This window comes from Homo sapiens, chromosome 15 (assembly GCF_000001405.40).
Source record: "Homo sapiens chromosome 15, GRCh38.p14 Primary Assembly".
NCBI classification, from domain to species: Eukaryota; Metazoa; Chordata; class Mammalia; order Primates; family Hominidae; genus Homo; species Homo sapiens.
Window position 1 is genome coordinate 28,840,104 of NC_000015.10, and position 19,308 is coordinate 28,859,411.

A 19,308-nucleotide genomic window follows, 5' to 3' on the forward strand; every position below is an offset into this window, starting at 1 on the left:
GTCCAGCTGGGGGAAGGAGGTTACCAAGGGGATTGACCCCCCTCTGGCCAGGTGGCTGCCTTCTGACACACCAGTCTCTCTCTCTAGCACGGTGGCCCCTACACACCCAGCCTGTCAAACCTACAGCCCTCGGGAAGGCTTTGGCCAAATCCATGAGCGGCTCCCTCTGTTAAGAAGGAAGCACAGCTGAAGCATGAGGAGGGCAGTAGAGTGTGTATGCTCCGCCGCGTCTCCCCACAGTCTGACCAGAAGGAAGGGGCCTTTCAGCCAGGCTCGCCCAGGCTGGGGTTGGAGTGTCAGTATCAAGCCAATGTCTTCTTGCTTAATGAGTGAGCCCAGGTGCTCCCGTGCAGCTGCCACCGTAGTGAGGGTGAACCGGCAGGAGGCTCCACGGCACTTTCAGGCTCAGGCTGCCTGGTGAGATCTACTCTGTGGGCTCTGTAGGCTGGTAGAGGCTTCCAGGAGGAGGAGGGGATGCAGCCACCAGTCCCCACTCCTGGGAGTCGTATTTCTGAAAGCTTGGGTATACAGTAAATATTAGGCTGTGGGCTGGTTTATCTATGGATTTGATGTGGGAGGGTTATAGGTACAAGCAGTTTAAAGATGGAAATTTTGAGAGAACCCTTAGTGCTGGGTAAGGCAAGCAGGCTTGTCAAAGCAGCTCTTTTGGGGAGGCCAGAATCCTGTACCAATGTCCTCAGCATGTTCATCAGCTGCTGGGGGAGTGCCGGACAGGATGAAAGCACAGGAGAACTTTGTGGATGATAAAATGTTCCATATCTTCAAAGGAGGTGGGTTACATGGGTAATGCATTTGTTAAAAGTCATCAAAATGTAAACCAGATCTGTGCATTTCACGGAATATAAATTATACCTCAAATTAGAAACATTTTTAAAAAGACAGATGGGCTGGATGCAGTGGCACACGCCTGTAATCCCAGCACTTGGGGAGGCCGAGGCGGGTAGATCACATGAGTCAGGAGCTCGAGACCAGCCTGGACAACATGGTGAAATCCCGTCTCTACTAAAAATATAAAAATTAGCCAGGGGTGGTGGCATATGCGTGTAATCCCAGCTACTTGGGAGGCTGAGGCAGGAGAATTGCTTGAACCCAGGAGGTGGAGGTTACAGTGAGCAGAGATTGCACCACTGCACTAGAGCCTGGGCAACAGAGTGAGACTCCATCTCAAAAAAAAAAAAAAAAAAAGGTTTTCAACATTCATTAAAGGCAGAGTAGCTTGTTATAGACTAGCCTCCCCACAGGAACAGTTAGAAAAACTGGACAAAAATGTGTCCCCCCTTCCCCCCACCATCAAAAACAATTGTTGGAAGGTAATTGGGGACCTCAGCCAGGACTTGAGTGACCAGGCCTAGGAGGTGATCCTGACAGTCCTTAGTGCTTTTCCCACATTTGGTGATCGGTCAACAGTAGAGGGCTAAGAGGCTAAGAAACTGAGTATGAAGTGATAGTTAAGAGGCTGGAGAGCCTAGCTGAATGTTTGGCACTCTCACAGGGCTGAAATGACATAATGAGAATTTGGGTCCCAGTAAGGAGATGAGACCTTGGTGGGGATCCTGGAAGGGCCACCCCTAAGAGTCCAAAAGAATAAAAAATAGACCAGCTGTCACAAAAACTAAAACCTGCTTTGAGCCAGCTTAGTCCCAAACTAGATGAAGGCGATCTGCTTGAACGCCAATTGTGTGCCATAAAGTCAAAGTCAGTACTCTCTGGAGGCAGATAAAACTTTACTAGGCATGCCATAAGACAAGACAACGCAAGACAAAAGGAGAAAACAAACAAAAAAAACAATAGAAACATACATAGATATTAGAGTCCTCAGGTAGAATTTTTTTTTTTTTTTTTGAAATGGGAGTTTCACTCTGTCACCCAGCCTGGAGTGCAGTGGTGTGATCTCAGCTCACTGCAACCTCAACCTCCCACGTAGCTGGGATTGGTGATCCACCCGCCTAGGCCTCCCAAAGTGGTGTGATTACAGGTGCAGGCCACCGTGCCCGGCCAGTATTTTGCCACAATTTAAAATAAATTTTCTTTTTTTCAAGTTTGTTCTCAGACTGTATTCACAAGGTCACATGGCGGCTTACACTTCTGTAGGCCTTGTTGACCGTTCTTTTTAGATACTGATGATCTTGATCTTTTTCTTGTCTCCTCCGTAGAAGAATGGGATGCAGGAGGTGCTGCCTAAGCCTGGGCGCTCCTGGGCGTTCTTCATTCCAGGGGGCAGCTGCATGATCTGTGCAGTGCGGTTGTCATGGGAATAACCCTTCCCGGCCTCTCGTGCAGGCTCCAGGCTGCCAGGGTGGCTCATATCAGAAGGATATTTGGAGGGAGGGAGGCAGGGCTCTGAGCACCGCTCCTCCTGCGTCTTCTCCTGCTCTCCCATCCTCTCCTTCTTCTCCCGCCTCTTCTCCACCTGCCTCCGGATCTTCTCCTCCTCCTCCTGCATCTTCTCATACTCATCCCACAGCCTCTCCTCCTTGAATTGCAGCCTCTCCACCTGCTTCCGCATCTGCTCCTCCTGCTCCCCCATCTGCTCCTCCTGCTCCCCCATCTGCTCCTCCTGCTTCCTCATCTGCTCCTCCTGCTCCCCCATCTGCTCCTCCTGCTTCCGCATCTGCTCCTCCTGCTCCCCCATCTGCTCCTCCTGCTTCCGCATCTGCTCCTCCTGCTCCCCCATCTGCTCCTCCTGCTTCCGGATCTGCTCCTCCTGCTCCCCCATCTGCTCCTCCTGCTTCCTCATCTGCTCCCCCATCTGCTCCTCCTGCTTCCACATCTGCTCCTCCTGCTTTCGCATCTGCTCCTCCTGCTCCCCTATCTGCTCCTCCTGCTTCCACATCTGCTCCTCCTGCTTCCGCATCTGCTCCTCCTGCTCCCCTATCTGCTCCTCCTGCTTCCACATCTGCTCCTCCTGCTTCCGCATCTGCTCCTTCTGCTTCAGCATCTGCTTCTCCTGCTTCCGCATCTGCTCCTCCTGCTCCCCCATCTGCTCCTCCTGCTTCCCCATCTGCTCCTCCTGCTTCCGCATCTGCTCCTCCTGCTTCCGCATCTGCTCCTCCTGCTTCCGCATCTGCTCCTCCTGCTTCCGCATCTGCTCCTCCTGCTTCCGCATCTGCTCCTCCTGCTTCCGCATCTGCTCCTCCTGCTCCTGCATCTGCTGCTCCTGCTCCCGCAGCTCCTTCTCCTGGTCCCGCAGCCTCTGCTCCTGTCTCCACATCTTCTCCTCGTGCTTCCGTAGCTTCTCCTGATCCCGTAGCTCCTCCTGATCCCGTAGCTCCTCCTCCTGCCTCCACATCTTCTCCTGCAAAGTGTTGGTTTGAACCTCAAAAGGAAATAGAGTCATAAGCTAGGTATATAAATGTAATCTATAAAATAACGGTTTTCGTCTATGATTCTTTAAAAAGAAATTTTAAGCCGTAACCCTGAGGTTCTGATTTCCCAGGCATGGTCCCAATTTGTAGATTTTTAGCACACTCTAGAGGATTCTGTGGTGGGACCAGAACAAGGACCCAAATTTTCCAGCTCTTGGCTGGAGCCTCCCCACACCCTGCATGATCCCTAGACCATGTCCCAGCCGGATGCGGCTCCCACACCCCCGGGGCTGCCGCCGCTCACCTGTGGCAGCGGGATTTTGTCCGTCTCCAGTTTCCTTTTTAGCTCCTTGATGTGGAGCTGGATCTCAGACTTTTCAGTTTCTACCAGTCGAAGTTTTTCTTGTAGTTCGGCATTTTTCTCCTTCAGCTCCTTATTGGTTATGCTATGGCCGGAGGCAGTAGAGAAAGGAATGAACGAAGAACAGAAAGGACCGCTTTGGTGATCGACCCTCTACCCTCGCCCCACAACCACAGAACCGTGGCACTGGAAGGGACCCCAGGAATTAAAAGTCCCAGGTGGCAGGCCAGAGAGAAGACATGAGTTGCCTGAGGCTACCCCATGAGTCAGTGGCACAGCCGGCACTGGAGCTTCCCTGCACACACATGTAAACCTGTATGACCCCCTACCATGCTCACCTGTACCCCCCACCTCCCAGCACACCACCCACGCTAAGGGCTCTCAGACCTCCCATCCCCCCCTCCCCTATCCTACATGTTCCTGAACAGCTCCAGACTCATGGCTTCCCTCTCCTTTGTTAACTCCTTGATGTACTGCAAACAGAGAAAGGTCAAGTCAGGATACAGCAGGCAGAGGAGCAGCTGGACGACCAGTAACGACAGCTACACTGATACTCCACAGTAACACTTGCTCCTCTCCGTCACACCCGACATGTTCTCAAGGCGTTTCCAAACCCGTGGTGTCATTTGTTTTTCTTTTCTTTTTTTTTTTTTTTTTGAGATGGAGTTTCGCTCTTGTTGCCCAGGCTGGAGTGCAATGGCGCGATCTCACCCCACCGCAACCTCCGCCTCCCGGCTTCAAGCGATTCTTCTGCCTCAGCCTCCTAAGTAGCTGGGATTACAGGCATGTGCCACTGCACCTGGCTCTCACTTGTTTTTCGGAGAACTCAGTAAGGGTGGAAGGCACAGAGAAAGAGACTGAATTGATAGCTGGCTAACAGGGGCCCAGAGCGATCAGATAATATTGTTATTGCTATTACTGTTATTATTACCACTGTTGGAACCTTTCTTGAGTGCTTCACCAGGCACTATGCTAACAATCCCATTTAATCCTCACAGCCACCACAGGAGACAGTTATCATTATCACCTCTATTGTGTAGATGAAAAACATGGGGTATTAAAGGTTAAGTGCTTGCCTAAGATCACTTAGAGCTGGGATTTCAACACCCAGGTATATCTGATTCTCTAAGCCCATTCTTTTGGTTGGGGGTAGGGGCACAGATAAGGAGGAGGAAATTAATCCTTTGTTGATTTTTGAAAGAATGATACATTGGCATAGTCCAAACCTCAGAAGGTACAGAAGGGAAATATCTTCCCCCAACACTGTTCCTCTCTCCTGAGTTTTTTATGAATCCTTACAAACATGTTTTATGTATATTACCATAATACGTACGTACACACACACACACACACACACACACACACACACACACACGTACATGTGTTCCCTCTCTCTACACAAATGGTAACATACTAAAGATACTCTTCTGTACCTTCATGGTACAAGTACCCTCAACTCCGCCTAGGATTTGACCAAGGCCACAGCCAAGTATGGGTGGGGTGGGCACTTGGCCTCCGAGCTCTGTGTCCAGTGCTCGCTCCCCACAGCGCCCCGCAACTCACCCACAGCAGCTGACTCAGCCCCAACCTGCCTCTAACAACCACGCACAAAAGCAGCAAGAAATGGCCCATGCTGTCTTCTGGGCAGGACACTGCATCCTGCAGAAGGGACCTTTAGGCTCATTCCTCCATCTGCGAAGCTGGGCTCCCAGGGGACCGGGTAGGTGGTTGGACTCACCTTGTCCGCCCTCTCGTGCTCTGCGGACATAGCAGAGAGAGCCCGCTGTAACTCTCCTGCAAAGTGCCAGGAATGATGCAGGCGGGCTGCCAGATCCTTGGAATCTTCTGGAATGAGAGAGGTTGAGCTGCAGCCCAAAGGCCTGTGAAAGTGCCAGGTTGAAGGATGACGGGGTGCCCAGATTCCCACCTTCAAATTTCCTGGCAGCATCCTGGCTGTCATGGAGCGCTGTCTCCAGTTCAGTTTTCTGACACATAAGGATTCGTATGGTATGATCCTGGGCCTTTGGGAGACAAGAAAAGCAAGTGCTGAAAGAGAAGCAAAGAAACCTTCTCCAGAGGACAGGAGGGAACTTCACACCCTCCACTCACCTCTAGCTGCCTCCTTAGGGCTTGCTGATGTTGGTGGCTTGCCTTATTTTCCTATAGAAAAGAAGAGGAAGACAGAGCTCTTACTAGAGGGAGGCAGAGATGGCACAGCAAGAGACATGCCCCCAGAATGGCCCCACTGTCCCAGGACAGGCCCACCCATGGGACCAGGTTATCAGGGACCCTGTGGGGATGGGGTGGAAGCTGGGAGGTGAGCCTTCCTCCCCAAGCTGGGAGTAGGCGAGACGAGACTGGGGCCTCTACATCTGAGTGCCCCCCAAACCCAGCGGTCATGTCGTGAGCAAAGAAAGAAACCATGTTACCTCTTTCAGCTGAGCTCGGTTCTGTTGTTTCTGTGGGGAGAGTCAAAGGAAGGTGACTGAGGGTGGTCCCTCGACTCTATTCCCCAGGCCAGGAAGCGGTAGGCAGGGGTCAGGAATGGATTTTAAGGGCAAAGTTCTCAGACCCAATGGGAACACAAACTGGTCAACTTTCCTTAACGCCCAAAGAAAAAGGATTTGGGTCTTTGTTGGCTTTTGCCCACAGCCACAGAACTGAAAGTCTGAAACTAGATTCTCTGGAAAAGACAGTAACATAAACCTTCCGACATAAGAGTGTGAGAAAAGCCCACCCTTCTGCCAGCTTGTGATGGAGAAAGATGTGTTCATTCAACAAGCATTGAGCAAGCACATAGGGGCCGGGGACGGTTCTTCACTGCTGGGATATAGGACGGAAAAGGCAGACAGGAGCCCTTGGCCCCAAGGTTTCCATTCTAGTGAATCTTTAAATCTCAGACTCTCAGAGCAAACAGAACCTCTGATACTCTAACTCTACCTCCTCAGGAAACGGAAGCCCAAAGAGGAGGGGAGCTTACAGCAGGCCCTGGACTAGGGATTAACACAAAAACAACAGCAACAAATCTGATTTAAGCTTCACACATGTAAGTAAAACATTACCATCCCCATTTTACAGATGTGAAAAGAGAGGCCCAAAGAGCTCGAGCAATTTTCCCTAAACCGTGTCCCTCGCAGTTGGAGAGAGAAGTAGGACTCAAACCCAGAATTCTTAGCCAGTACCCAGCAGTTCTTCCTTCCACAATCTTAACAGTTACCCTCGACCTCCCCCTTGTGCCCCTTGTCCTCAGGAGACCGGCCAGCCAAGACTCACATCCTCAGGCGAGTGGCAGCCCCCCGAAGTGGTTGTCTCAGGGTTAGCGCCATGATTTATTTTCTTCTTTTTGGTGTCGGTTGCTCCGGTACCAACACCAGCACTGTTCCACTGATGATAGTCTGTAAACTGTGGAAAAGAGGAGCAGTGATACTCATGAGAACTACAAGCTCCTACAGTCACTTTACAGTTTATACAAAATACTCTCATAGACGATCTGACTTAATGCCACCAACGACTGTACGAGGTGTTGTCGCAATCACTTAGTGACTGAGAGGGATTGATACCATGGCTAAAAGAAAGGCAATAATGGAACTGAAACTCAGTCTTCTGACTCTGAGCTCTGGGGTGTTGCCACAAATCAGCAGCTGCCAGAGACCAAAACCAGAGGCAGAGGTAGAAAAGTAAAAAGTAGGCAGGAAGGTGTACACTGTGTGGTTTACAGTCGTACATCCTCTTAGAGTCATGTATCCTCAGGGCAGAAGGCAGCCTTTCTGTTAAATGTGGGAATTAAACAGAAAGAGGACAACCCAAGCTGCATTTCAGAGAGAAGTCTTGTATACTCTTTGAAATCTATGTGACTATCATCCCTAAGAACATTAATGTTTTGTGTCTCCCACGAGAATCAAGGAAAACTGATGCTTCAGAAAGATGCCCCATATGTATCCTGTGGCACTCAAAGTACCCCAGGTTGAGATGAGATGAGGAAGATTCAAGTTGTCAAGTCCAGTTTCCCAAGATCTCTTGCACAGAAGATGAGCAAATCTCACTTCAAAGATCACTGACTGATGGGCACTCTGGTCCCAGAACCATGGAGAATTCAAATATGAAGTGGAGAACTTAGAAAAAACTGTTAAAGTCTCTCTGGAGAGTAGAAGCCTGGGAGAAAACCAAACCAAACCCATTATCCCATCAGTGCTGTGCCCAAGTTGCCTCTTTGAGATTGGCATGGGGTCACAGGGTTGGGACCCAGGTACTTGGAGACGTGAGCCCAAAGAGCCCAGGGAAGTCAGGCTTGGGGCAGCGGTAGGTGAGGGCCGAGTATGGAGTGGGGAGCCCCAGGAGTCACCTGCCCAAAGTCACCCTGGGGTGACTGGTGAGGGCAGGTGCTGGGGCATCCGGTTCCTTGGGAACGTGAGCCCGAAGGGCCCAGGGAGATCCATTTTTGGACAATAGGAGGTGAGGGCAGAGTACAAAGCAGGGAGCCCCACGAGTCACCGGCTGAAAGTCACCCTGGGGTGACCGGTGAGGGCAGGGGCAGGACTGCTGAGGGGTTGGGGCTGACACAAGATTTTGGTTGGGGGAGCCCAGAGGCACTGGGGGGGGCCCGGCCCTGCGTGCCTCTGGAGTGACACGGATTCTGGCAGCTGTTCTGCCATCAGAGGGGACCTGGGGCTGGGTTGGGGTTGGGGTGCTGCAATCCGATGCGTTTTACCTTTTTCTTGGTCCCAGCCAATTTTCTTTGTTGGGTTTTTTCGGACATCATGGGGTGGGGAGGGTGGTGGGGTTGGGGTCACATTGGCGTGATCCAGGCGAGGACAGTGATATGCCTCCAGTCACGTACCACACAGCTATGTGACTGAGCCACAGGAGGCGTCACCGGGGCTGCACTAGAATGCGGAAAAGGGGCGTGGCCTTAATGCTCCAAGCCCATTGGTCAATGAGAAAGATGAAAGGGAAAGGAGGCGGGGCCAGGCAGCTGCGGGTCATGAAGGTCCTGTGATGTCACAAGGAAAGCCTCCCATGGAACTGCTGTCCCCGCCCACTCTGGGAGAGGGGCGGGGCTGGCTTTCACTTACTTTTTTTTTTTTTTACATATATAACTTTTTATTATAATTTAAGGTATAGTCGATAATATAATGTTTTTTTTTGTTTTGTTTTGTTTTGTTTTTTTTAATTGATCATTGGGTGTTTCTCGCAGAGGGGGATTTGGCAGGGTCATAGGACAATAGTGGAGGGAAGGTCAGCAGATAAACAAGTGAACAAAGGTCTCTGGTTTTCCTAGGCAGAGGACCCTACGGCCTTCTGCAGTGTTTGTGTCCCGGGGTACTTGAGATTAGAGAGTGGTGATGACTTTTAACGAGCATGCTGCCTTCAAACATCTGTTTAACAAAGCACATCTTGCACCGCCCTTAATCCATTTAACCCTGAGTGGACACAGCACATGTTTCAGAGAGCACAGGGTTGGGGGTAAGGTCACAGATCAACAGGATCCCAAGGCAGAATAATTTTTCTTAGTACAGAACAAAATGAGAAGTCTCCCATGTCTACCTCCCTCTACACAGACACGGCAACCATCCAACCTCTCAATCTTTTCCCCACCTTTCCCCCCTTTCTATTCTACAAAACCGCCATTGTCATCATGGCCCATTCTCAATGAGCTGCTGGGCACACCTCCCAGACGGGGTGGCGGCCAGGCAGAGGGGCTCCTCACTTCCCAGTAGGGGCAGCCGGGCAGAGGCGCCCCTCACCTCCCGGACGGGGCGACTGGCTGGGCGGGGGGCTGACCCCCCCACCTCCCTCCCGGACGGGGTGGCTGGCCGGGCAGAGGGGCTCCTCACTTCCCAGTAGGGGCGGCCGGGCAGAGGCGCCCCTCACCTCCCGGACGGGGCGGCTGGCCAGGCGGGGGGCTGACCCCCCCACCTCCCTCCCGGACGGGGCGGCTGGCCGGGCGGGGGTTGACCCCCACCTCCCTCCCGGACGGGGTGGCTGCCGGGCGGAGACGCTCCTCACTTCCCAGACGGGGTGGCTGCCGGGCGGAGGGGCTCCTCACTTCTCTGACGGGGCGGCTGCCGGGTGGAGGGGCTCCTCACTTCTCAGATGGGGCGGTTGCCAGGCGGAGGGTCTCCTCACTTCTCAGACGGGGCGGCCGGGCAGAGACGCTCCTCACCTTCCAGGCGGGGTCGCGGCCGGGTAGAGGCGCTCCTCACATCCCAGACGGGGTGGCGGGGCAGAGGCGCTCCCCACATCTCAGACGATGGGCGGCCGGGCAGAGGCGCTCCTCACTTCCTAGATGGGATGGCGGCCGGGAAGAGGCGCTCCTCATTTTCCAGACTGGGCAGCCAGGCAGAGGGGCTCCTCACATCCCAGACGATGGGCAGCCAGGCAGAGACGCTCCTCACTTCCCAGACGATGGGCGGCCAGGCAGAGACGCTCCTCACTTCCCAGACGGGGTGGCAGCCGGGCAGAGGCTGCAATCTCGGCACTTTGGGGGGCCAAGGCAGGCGGCTGGGAGGTGGAGGTTGTAGCGAGCCGAGATCACGCCACTGCACTCCAGCCTGGGCACCATTGAGCGCTGAGTGAACCAGACTCCGTCTGCAATCCCGGCACCTCGGGAGGCCGAGGCTGGCAGATCACTCGCGGTTAGGAGCTGGAGACCAGCCCGGCCAACACAGCGAAACCCCGTCTCCACCAAAAAAATACGAAAACCAGTCAGGCGTGGCGGCGCGCGCCTGCAATCGCAGGCACTCGGCAGGCTGAGGCAGGAGAATCAGGCAGGGAGGTTGCAGTGAGCCGAGATGGCAGCAGTACAGTCCAGCTTCGGCACAGCATCAGAGGGAGACCGTGGAAAGAGAGGGAGAGGGAGACCGTGGGGAGAGGGAGAGGGAGAGGGAGACCGTGGGGAGAGGGAGAGGGAGACCGTGGGGAGAGGGAGAGGGAGAGGGAGAGGGAGAGGGACTCACTTTCTAAACTTTAAAACTTTATCACCTTAGTTGAGGTACAAATCCTGTTGTAATGGAAAATTTACAGCGTGCTTAATGATTAGTAAAGCAGATTATATTATCCAACATTCCAATAAGATAAAATAATCACAGTGATTTCTCTTTTTTGGAAAAAGTTTCTCTTATTCTCCTACATTATTGTTAAGTTTTTTTTTTTTTTAAACTAGAGATATGTCTAATATATTTTAAAACACAAAGCTTTTGAGGTGGGTGTGGTGGCTCATGCCTGTCATCCCAGCACATTGGTAGGCTGAGATGGGCATATCACCTGAGATCAGGAGTCAAGACCAAAATTTTAGTATTTTAGTGTGTATTTTAGTATTTATTTTAGTATTTAATACATCATTTAGGGCTACATGTAGCCACAGAAAGAATAAATCTGATTCAGTGACTTAAAGAAATATAGATTTCATTTTTGTCACTTAAAACGTGCAGAGGAAGGCAGTCCAGGGTTCTTTTCAGTTTCCTGATACTTCCTTAGCCTGGTTTCTATTCTTGTGGTCACAATGTGGCTGCTGTTTTTCCAGGCCTTGGATTGCCTTCCAAGGAGGGAAAGATGAAAGGTCAAAAGGCTGAGTTTGTCTCTTTTTAGCTGAAAAACACAGATTTCTCAAAAGTTGTAAAATTATACTGCAATTCAATTTTCATCCTTTTTTTTTTTTTTTTTTTTGAAACGCAGTCTTGCTCTGTTGCCAGGCTGGAGTGCAGTGGCACAATCTCGGCTCACTGTCATAATGTCCGCCTCCATGGTTCAAGTGATTCTCCTACCTCAGCCTCCCTAATAGCTAGGAATACAGGCGCATGACACCACGCCCGACTCATTTCTATTTGTATTTTTAGTAGAGACGAGATTTCACCATGTTGGCCAGGCTGGTTTTGAACTCCAGACCTTGTGATCCGCCCACCTCTGCCTCCCAAAGTGCTGGAATTAGAGGCATGAGCCACTGCGCCTGGCCTGCAATTTTCATCTTTTGGCTGCAAATAAGTTATGTCACTATTCTCAGCTGGGGGAGTGTTTAACTCACATGTTGCTTCCTCTCTGTTACACAGGTTTTAAGATTTATGAATAGGTACTGAATTGTATCAATTGCTTTTTTCTTTCTTGATTGAGCAGTGTTTTTTCTTATCTTTTTATGTTGATAAGGTAACTTAACAGTGATTGGCTTTTGAATGTTGAACATTGCATTTTGGAATTAAATCAACTTTGTTGTGATAAATGATTAATACCATATTATATATGGTTGAGATGGGTTTGCTCCTAGTTCATTTGGTAGTTTTGTACTTACGTTCACAAGAGAAAGTGGAGTCTAAGTTTTTCTGTGTGTTTTTTTTTTTTTTTTTTTTTTTTTTGCCACGGAGTCTCGCCCTGTTGTCCAGGCTGGAATGCAGTGGCATGATCTCGGCTCATTGCAAGCTCCGCCTTCCGGGTTCACGCCATTCTCCTGCTTCAGCCTCCCGAGTAGTTGGGACTATAGGCGCCCACCACCACCCCTGGCTAATTTATTGTATTTTTTTAGTAGAGACGGGGTTTCACCGTGTTAGCCAGGATGGTCTCGATCTCCTGACCTCGTGATCCACCCGCCTCAGCCTCCCAAAGTGCTGGGATTACAGGCGTGAGCCACTGCACCCAGACTTGTGAGGTTTTAATATGAAGTATTAAAGCTATGCTGGTTAGACAATTTGAGAAATGTTTCTTCTCCTATTTCTGACAGAGTTTATGTAAGATGTGTGCTATTTCTTCCTTAAGCATTTGGAAAGAATTCACTTATTAAGCCATGTGAGACTGTAGTTTTCTTTATAAGGTGTTTAATTACAGGTTCAATTACATATATATGAATATTCATTTCGGTAACCTGTGTTTGCTGAATCAATTTGTTCATTTTATCTAAAATTTCAAAGTTGTTCTATTATTCATTTATCTTTTTAATACTTATAAGGTGTGCGGTTAGAATTTGTGCCTTTTGTCTGTTTTGTTAATCAATCTTGCTGGGGGCCATCAATTTTATCAGTGTTTCAAAAAAGCAAACTTTGATTTTATTCATCCCTTTACCATACTAAAAATGTTTTGCTTAATTTCCAAACTTACACTTCCACTGTGATTAAATATTTGTATAACTAAAACTCTTTGGAATTTGTGTCTTCTCAATGATTAAAAATATGATTAATTTTTATAAATATTGCTTCTGCACTTGAAAAGGATATGTATTCTGCATGTTGAGCGTAGTGTACCACGTATCTCAATTAGACGGAGCGTGTTAAATGCATCCTTTAAAGATTCTATTTCCTTACTGATGTTTGTCTATTTTTCAGTGGCTGAGACACAGATATGAAACTTTCCCACAATCATCGTCAACTTATTTCTTTTTTTCGTTTGTTAAGCTTTGTTCTGTGTGTTTTAAGGTTAAGTTACCAGGCATAAACACATTTAGAATTCCTTTTTCTCCCTGCTGGTTGCACCCTTTTATCATTAGGAAATACCCTCTTTATCTCTCATATACCTCTTTCATTAGAGTTTTTTTAATATGTAAAAGAAAATAAAGTCTTGGAACGCCAAACCTGTTATGGTAAGGGAGACGTAAGTTTGGGAGCTTAGTCATGCAAAACTGCCATTCTTTCTCCCCAAAGAGATAGCTGCCATTTCACAACCCTGTGTGATGGCATTAGACATAAGCCAGGTCCCCACTACCACAAAAGGCCACATACCTCTCCATATGGCCCCCCTTACAAACTGTTCACAGGGACATTCCCTGCTAGCCCCTAAATCTTTCAGGATCCATGTCCCCCTATAAAATAAGCATATGCCAGTTGTAACCCTGGCTCTGCAACCTCAGTTTAAGATGTGACACTGAGTTCTATTCAATCTGACACTGACAATGTTGAATACAGGTTTATCTTCCCAGGTACAGAACAAGAACATGAGATCAAGCACTCTTCAGGCTATCCTGAGATGGCTTCATAATTGACTCTTTCCTCCCTCTTTTCAAATGTTTACCTCGTCTTATGTAAAATGAAGATTTACTGAGCACTAATTAGAGCTTCCTAAGAATGTAACCACCCCTTCACTGCCTGCTCCCCCTCCCTTTCTTCTCTCCTGCCTGCCTTCTCCCCTTACATACTGAGTTCCCAAAACCCTCTTTGGAAAGCACGGGTCACAGTAGTTTCTGTGGCTTGTGTTTTTTCCGGGGGTGTCGTCAAATTGTAGCTCCACAAAGCTCTATAGATGCAGGCACTTGCCTCAGTCGGTGGCTCATTTTTTGTTGTTTTTTTTTTCATTTAACAGCTATAAATACAGTTACCCTTGTTTTTATTTACTTAGTCTTTGCTTTGTCAGTCTTTGACTGTCAATTTTTCTTTTTTAAAAATAAATTTTCTTGTGTATAGTTAAAGCTTACAACATGATGTTAAAAGTTATATATAGATTGTAAAAAGATTCCTATACTGAAAGAAATTAACACACCAATCGTTTCACATAGTTCCCCATTTCCTTGTTGCTTTTGTGGCAAGAGCGGTTGAAATCTACTCATTGAGCATGAATTTCACATACAGAACAATTTTGTTCCCTGCAGTCCTCATGTCATCCATTACATCTCTAGACTTGTTCATCCTTCATACCTGCTACTTTGTGTCCTTTGGCCTCCATGTCCCCAATTCCTCCCCTCTCCTACCTCCCCTGGTAAACAATGTTTTGCTCTCTATCTCTGTAGATTTATTTATTTACATTTTTACATCCCACATATAAATGAGTTTATGCAATATTTGCTTTTCTGTGTATGCTTTATTTCACTTAGCATGACGTCCTCCAGCCTCATCCATCTTGTGGCAAATGGCAAGACCTTGTTTGTTTTAGGGCTGAATAATATTCCATTGTGTGTGTGTGCCACAGTCTCTTTATCCATTTATCCATTGATGGACACTTAGATTGTTTCCATATCTTGGCTATTGTGATTAAGGCTGCAATGAACATGACAATACAGGTATCTTTACAAAGTAATGATTTCATTTCCTTTGGGTGCATGTCCAGAAGAGGGATTGCTGAGTCATATGGTAGTTCTATTTTTAATTTCTCTAGAAATCTTCATACTCTTTTCCAGAATGGCTGTATCAATCTACATTCTCATCCATAGTATGCAAAAGTTCCCATTTCTCCACACTCTTGCCAACATTTATCTTTTGACGTTTTGATAATGGTCATAAGGGGTGTGAGGTGGTATCTCAGTGGGTTTGATTTGCATTTCCCTAATGACCTACAATGCGGAACACCTTTCAGATACCCACTTGCTATTTTTATGTCTTCTTTAAAGAAAGGTCTATTCGAGTTCTTTTTTAAAAACATTTTAAAAATTGGGTTATTTGTTTTGAGTTGTATCAATTATTTATATATTTTGGATTTTATTTTTTTTGAGACAGGGTCTGCTCTGTTATGCAGACTGGAGTACAGTGGCACAATCACAGCTTACTTGACCTTCTGGGTTCAAACATTCTCCCATCTCAGCCTCCCAAGTAGCTGTGACTAGAGGCGCACACCACTATGCCTGGCTAATTTTTAAATGTTTTGTTGAGACAGGGTCTCACTATGTTGGCAGGCCTGGACTCAAACTCCTGGGCTCAAGTGATCCTCCCACCTCAGCTTCTGAAAGTGCTGGGATTAAGCAGTGAGCCACTGCACCTGGCTAAATGTTGGATATTTACTCCTAATTGGCTGGGTGTGGTGGCTCACACTTGTAATCCCAGCACTTTGGGAGGCTGAGGCGCTTGGATCACTTGTGTTCGGGCATTCGAGACCAGCCTGGCCAATATGGTGAAACCCCATAATGGACTTTTGGCTTCTTTAACTGGGAAATGAGGATCGTGACCATCCCTGCCAAACAGGAGAGGAGATGGACTGATGTGTGTTGTGAGGCCCAACATGGTGAAACCCCATTTCTACTAAAAATACAACCAGCCAGGCATGGCGAGGCTGAGGCAGGCGAATTTCTTGAACCCGGGAGGCGGAAGTTGCAGTGAGCTGAGATCCCACCATTGTACTCCAGCCTAGGCAACAGAGCAAGACTTCGTCTCAAAAAAAAAAAAAGAAAAAAGAAAATTCACTTCAATAAATGGTGAGACCAGCTTTGCAAAGATGACAGTGAGAGAAGTCTAGCATGGCCGACTCCATCTTGCTTCCAGTCTCACGGGTCTGCTGTCTTTGCTCATTCCTGGGCATAGGCCAAATCAGCCATGGGAGAAATTTAGTTCATAGTCTAACGTTGCCATTTCCAGTCCTCGGGGGTCCCCTCTTTCCACTCCACGCTTAGTTATCAATTTGTTACTCTGCTTTAAAATGTATGTTGTTTTTTTGTAATCCCAGATACTCGGGAGACTGAGGCAGGAGAATCGCTTGAACCTGGGATGCAGAGGTTGCAGTGAGCCGAGATCGCACCATTGCACTCCAGCCTGGGCGACAGAACGAAACTGTGTCTCATAAAACAAATATAACTGAAATGGTAATGTGTTTCTTTAAAACTGAAGAAAATGTGCAAGGTGGATGTCTTCCTGTCACTTCGCACAGCCTACTGCCATAGCACCTGAGCCCCAGACCCTAAACTCACTGTCCTGCTCGGGGACCCCAGACCACACTGGCCATTGAAGGCACCCCAAGTACTCTCCTATCCTCACCTCGCTCCTGCAGTAAATGGCTAAATGAATAACTCAGAAGTGAAGCCAAAAAAGAAAAAGAAAATGCACATGGGGAACAGGAGAGGCGAGCAGAGGCCAGTCTGGAAGCCTGGGCTGATACGCTGTGAAGAGATGTCTCCGGGTGCTGCCTGCGGGGCGCAGTCTGCCATTCAGAACACACCTAGAGAAGTCCTAACCATTAAAGAGCACCCATTCCTGAGTCCCCTGCCTGCCCACAAAACTTTCCTTGAAACACCCTAACCTCTGAGCCTTTGGGGAGGCTGATTTCAGTGATAACTCCAGTCCTTCCATGTGGCTGGCATTGAGTTAATTCAACTCCTTACTGCAATACCATGGCCTCAGTGAACTGGTTTTGTCTGTGCAGCAAGCAGGAAGAACCCACCAGGGAATTACAATGGTATTGGGAAAACTGGATTTCCACGTGCAAATGAATGAATGATGTTACCCCAAGTGGTTGGGGATGCAATCATACGGGTGTGGAAATAGTCCTTATGCACTGAGTCCACATCTGGGTGGGGCCACAGGTTGAGTCCAGGTGGGGTAAGTCTGAGAAACATCCCAAAAGGCCAATTTTAGGTTCCACAATAGTGATGTTATCTACAGGAGGCACTGGGGAAGACACAAATCTTGTGACCTCTGGCCACATGACTCCTGAGCAGTAAGGGGTTACAGAAACTATGCCTGTATTTTCACAGAATTCAGGCCCCCACGCACCAAATCCTAATCTTGTGGCCTTTCATTCATCTTACAAAAGTGGGTTCAGCTCCTGGACAAGGACAGCATCAGTTTTAGGGAGGTTCTATTATCATCCTTGCTTCAACGTTAGCATAGCAGACAAGCGCAGAACCAGAAATTAACACGTGGGAAATTATACACCACAAATAGTACAATCCATGGAAGAACCAAGGGAATGGCGATAGCAGAATGTCAGGAAAGGACTTTGTAATGTGTAGGCCTTAGAGAAATAGGGAACTGAGACAAGAATCTATTTGAATTCTTGGAAATAAAAAATGTAATTACCATGTTGGCCAGGCTGGTCTTGAACTCCTGACCTCAGGTGATCCACCTGCGTCGGCCTCCCAAACTGCTGGGATTGCAGACATGAGCCACTGCACCCGGCCAAGAAGTGACTATTGTTTCTCCATTGTGTCCTCTTGATGCCCTTGTCAAAAATTAGTTGACCAGATATGTTTGGATTTATTTCTGAGCTCTCTGTTGTGTTACTGTCAATTTTTCCATATCCTGCTTTTCTTTTTCTTTTTTTGCTGCAAAAACTTTCTTCCCCTTTGGTCCACGGCTTGGGAGAAGGCTGGAGGGTGGTTAAAAAGCTGCCTACTGGCTGGAGAGAGAGGGTCAGGCAGAAGCCCTGATACCAGGAGGTGCAGAGGAACCCCTCAAAGGCTGCTGGGCTTTGGAGGCCCTGGTTGTGCTTGTGGGTAGGCTTTTGGAAAAGAGACTGGTGCAGGTGGGCCTGGGGGCTGGCCGGCCAGCAAAGGTAACTGCGGTGGTTGCCCATCATCTTGAAGAGTTTCATCTTCCCATTTAGGAAATGGCTGTCCTGAAAGTCACAGAGATGAAAGTCTGTGTGGGCAGATCCCAGGGCATGCGGATCCATAAGGGCCTGGTTCAGATTCTTCTCCAGGCAACGGTGGCTTTGATGGCATCCATGATTTTCCCCACTCATCTAGAGATGGCTTCTGTGCACCTTGGAAGATGGTGCAGCTGGTTTTGCACTTCCAAGAGACACACTGTGCCCTTGTGCTTCTATTGAACCAACTCATGGAAGAAGCAGCCAAAGCGCTCCAGAGCCACTCATTGTGGTTGAAATAGAAGCCCAGGGAATGGTAAGTGCAGGACACCCGCCGATGCACATGGACCAGGCAGCTGACTGCAGCTTCCTCCTCGGTGGAATCATTCTGACGAATCTGGGAGCTTGTGGTTGGTTGGCAATAAGGAGCTAACCTTATTTCTAACACAACGGTGTTGGCTGGTCCTGGAAGCAGGAGATGGCTGAGAAGATGGTCCTGGAGGTTGCAATTGGAGAGAAGATTGGAGGTTAGGAGAGGCTGGAAGAAAGGGAGTCCTCAGGTCTGTCCTATCCTAACACTGTTGAATCAAGGGACAGATGTGTGGGATCACTGGGAGTGCTGCCTAGACCTGCAATTTTTTTTTTTTTTTTTTTGAGACAGAGTCTCAGTGTGTCACCCAGGCTGTAGTGCAGTGGTGCAATCTCGGCTCACTGCAACCTCCGCCTCCTGGGTTCGAGCAATTCTCCTGCCTCAGCTTACCGAGTAGCTGGGAATACAGGCGCCCACCACCATGCCCGGCTAATTTTTGTATTTTTAGTAGAGACGGGTTTCACCATGTTGGCCAGGCTGGTATCCAACTCCTGACCTCAGGTGATCCACCTGCCTTTGCCTCCCAAAGTGCTGGGATTACGGGCGTGAGCCACCATGCCCGGCCTGGACCTGCATTTTTAATGTGTGTTTTTAATATGCAGAATATAGCTAAGAAATGAAATCCAATATATTTTGATTTTTATGTTATTTTGTTGTTTGGTTTTGGGGTCTTTTTTGAGACAGGGTCTCACTCTGTCACTTAGGCTGGAGTACAGTGGCATGATCATAGCTCACTACAACCTCAAATCCTGGGCTCACGCAATTGTCCCACCTCAGCCTGGGGCTATATGTGCACACCACCACGTCTGGCTAATTTTTTTATTTTTAGTAGACACGAGGTCTCGCCATGTTGACAAGGCTGGTCTTGAACTCCTGAGCTCAAGCGATCAGCCTGCCTCGGCCTCCCAAAGTACTGGTGTAAGCCACCAAGCCTGGCCTGATTTTCTCTCTTTTTTTTTTTTTTTTTTTTTTTTTGAGACAAGAGTCTTGCTCTGTCACCCAGGCTGGAGTGCAGTGGCGCGATCTCGGCTCACTGCAAGGGTTCTCCTCCT

At 48.5% G+C, this 19,308-nt stretch overlaps 1 protein-coding gene and 2 pseudogenes across 2 annotated transcripts in view, besides 2 other annotated features; 1 reads left to right on the top strand and 2 right to left on the bottom strand.

Moving 5' to 3' along the window:
• The window catches only part of PDCD6IPP2 (PDCD6IP pseudogene 2), a 66,741-nt pseudogene extending 50,270 nt beyond the window's left edge, over nucleotides 1-16,471 (top strand). Inside the window, exons 13-14 of the transcript NR_037599.1 lie at nucleotides 6,636-6,733; nucleotides 16,030-16,471. The product of NR_037599.1 is annotated as a PDCD6IP pseudogene 2 (transcript). The remainder of the gene's footprint in view (nucleotides 1-6,635; nucleotides 6,734-16,029) is intronic.
• On the bottom strand, nucleotides 1,729-8,541 carry GOLGA6L7 (golgin A6 family like 7). Its single transcript, NM_001365371.2, has 9 exons — nucleotides 8,396-8,541; nucleotides 6,961-7,089; nucleotides 6,117-6,146; nucleotides 5,797-5,847; nucleotides 5,615-5,708; nucleotides 5,426-5,532; nucleotides 4,102-4,160; nucleotides 3,631-3,772; nucleotides 1,729-3,337 (listed from the first exon to the last, which is right to left on the bottom strand). Exons 1-9 carry the CDS (start codon nucleotides 8,444-8,446, stop codon nucleotides 2,132-2,134), a joined length of 1,869 nt encoding a protein of 622 aa, NP_001352300.1. The 5' UTR covers nucleotides 8,447-8,541; the 3' UTR covers nucleotides 1,729-2,131.
• Nucleotides 4,377-4,923: an enhancer, noted in NCBI's record as "NANOG hESC enhancer chr15:29089626-29090172 (GRCh37/hg19 assembly coordinates)". NCBI's record gives its function as "activates a minimal SCP1, AML or CMV promoter by ChIP-STARR-seq in primed H9 embryonic stem cells {active_cell/tissue: H9 hESC(primed)}" and the evidence as "EXISTENCE:reporter gene assay evidence [ECO:0000049][PMID:30033119]".
• Nucleotides 8,675-8,809: a silencer, noted in NCBI's record as "fragment chr15:29093924-29094058 (GRCh37/hg19 assembly coordinates)". NCBI's record gives its function as "represses an EF-1alpha promoter that drives an FKBP-Casp9 reporter gene in an ReSE screen in K562 erythroleukemia cells {active_cell/tissue: K562}" and the evidence as "EXISTENCE:reporter gene assay evidence [ECO:0000049][PMID:32094911]".
• On the bottom strand, nucleotides 17,683-18,395 carry FTLP11 (ferritin light chain pseudogene 11; annotated as a pseudogene).

Bases quoted from the DNA above. Each gene is read 5' to 3' on its own strand.
- GOLGA6L7 (NM_001365371.2), bottom strand. From the start codon at position 8,446: ATGATGTCCGAAAAAACCCAACAAAGAAAATTGGCTGGGACCAAGAAA. The intron at 7,090-8,395 runs GTAAAACGCATC...TCTTTTCCACAG, and splicing joins TGGCTGGGACCAAGAAAAAG to TTTACAGACTATCATCAGTG. The intron at 5,709-5,796 runs GTGAGTGGAGGG...TGTCTCCCAAAG, and splicing joins CCCTAAGGAGGCAGCTAGAG to GCCCAGGATCATACCATACG.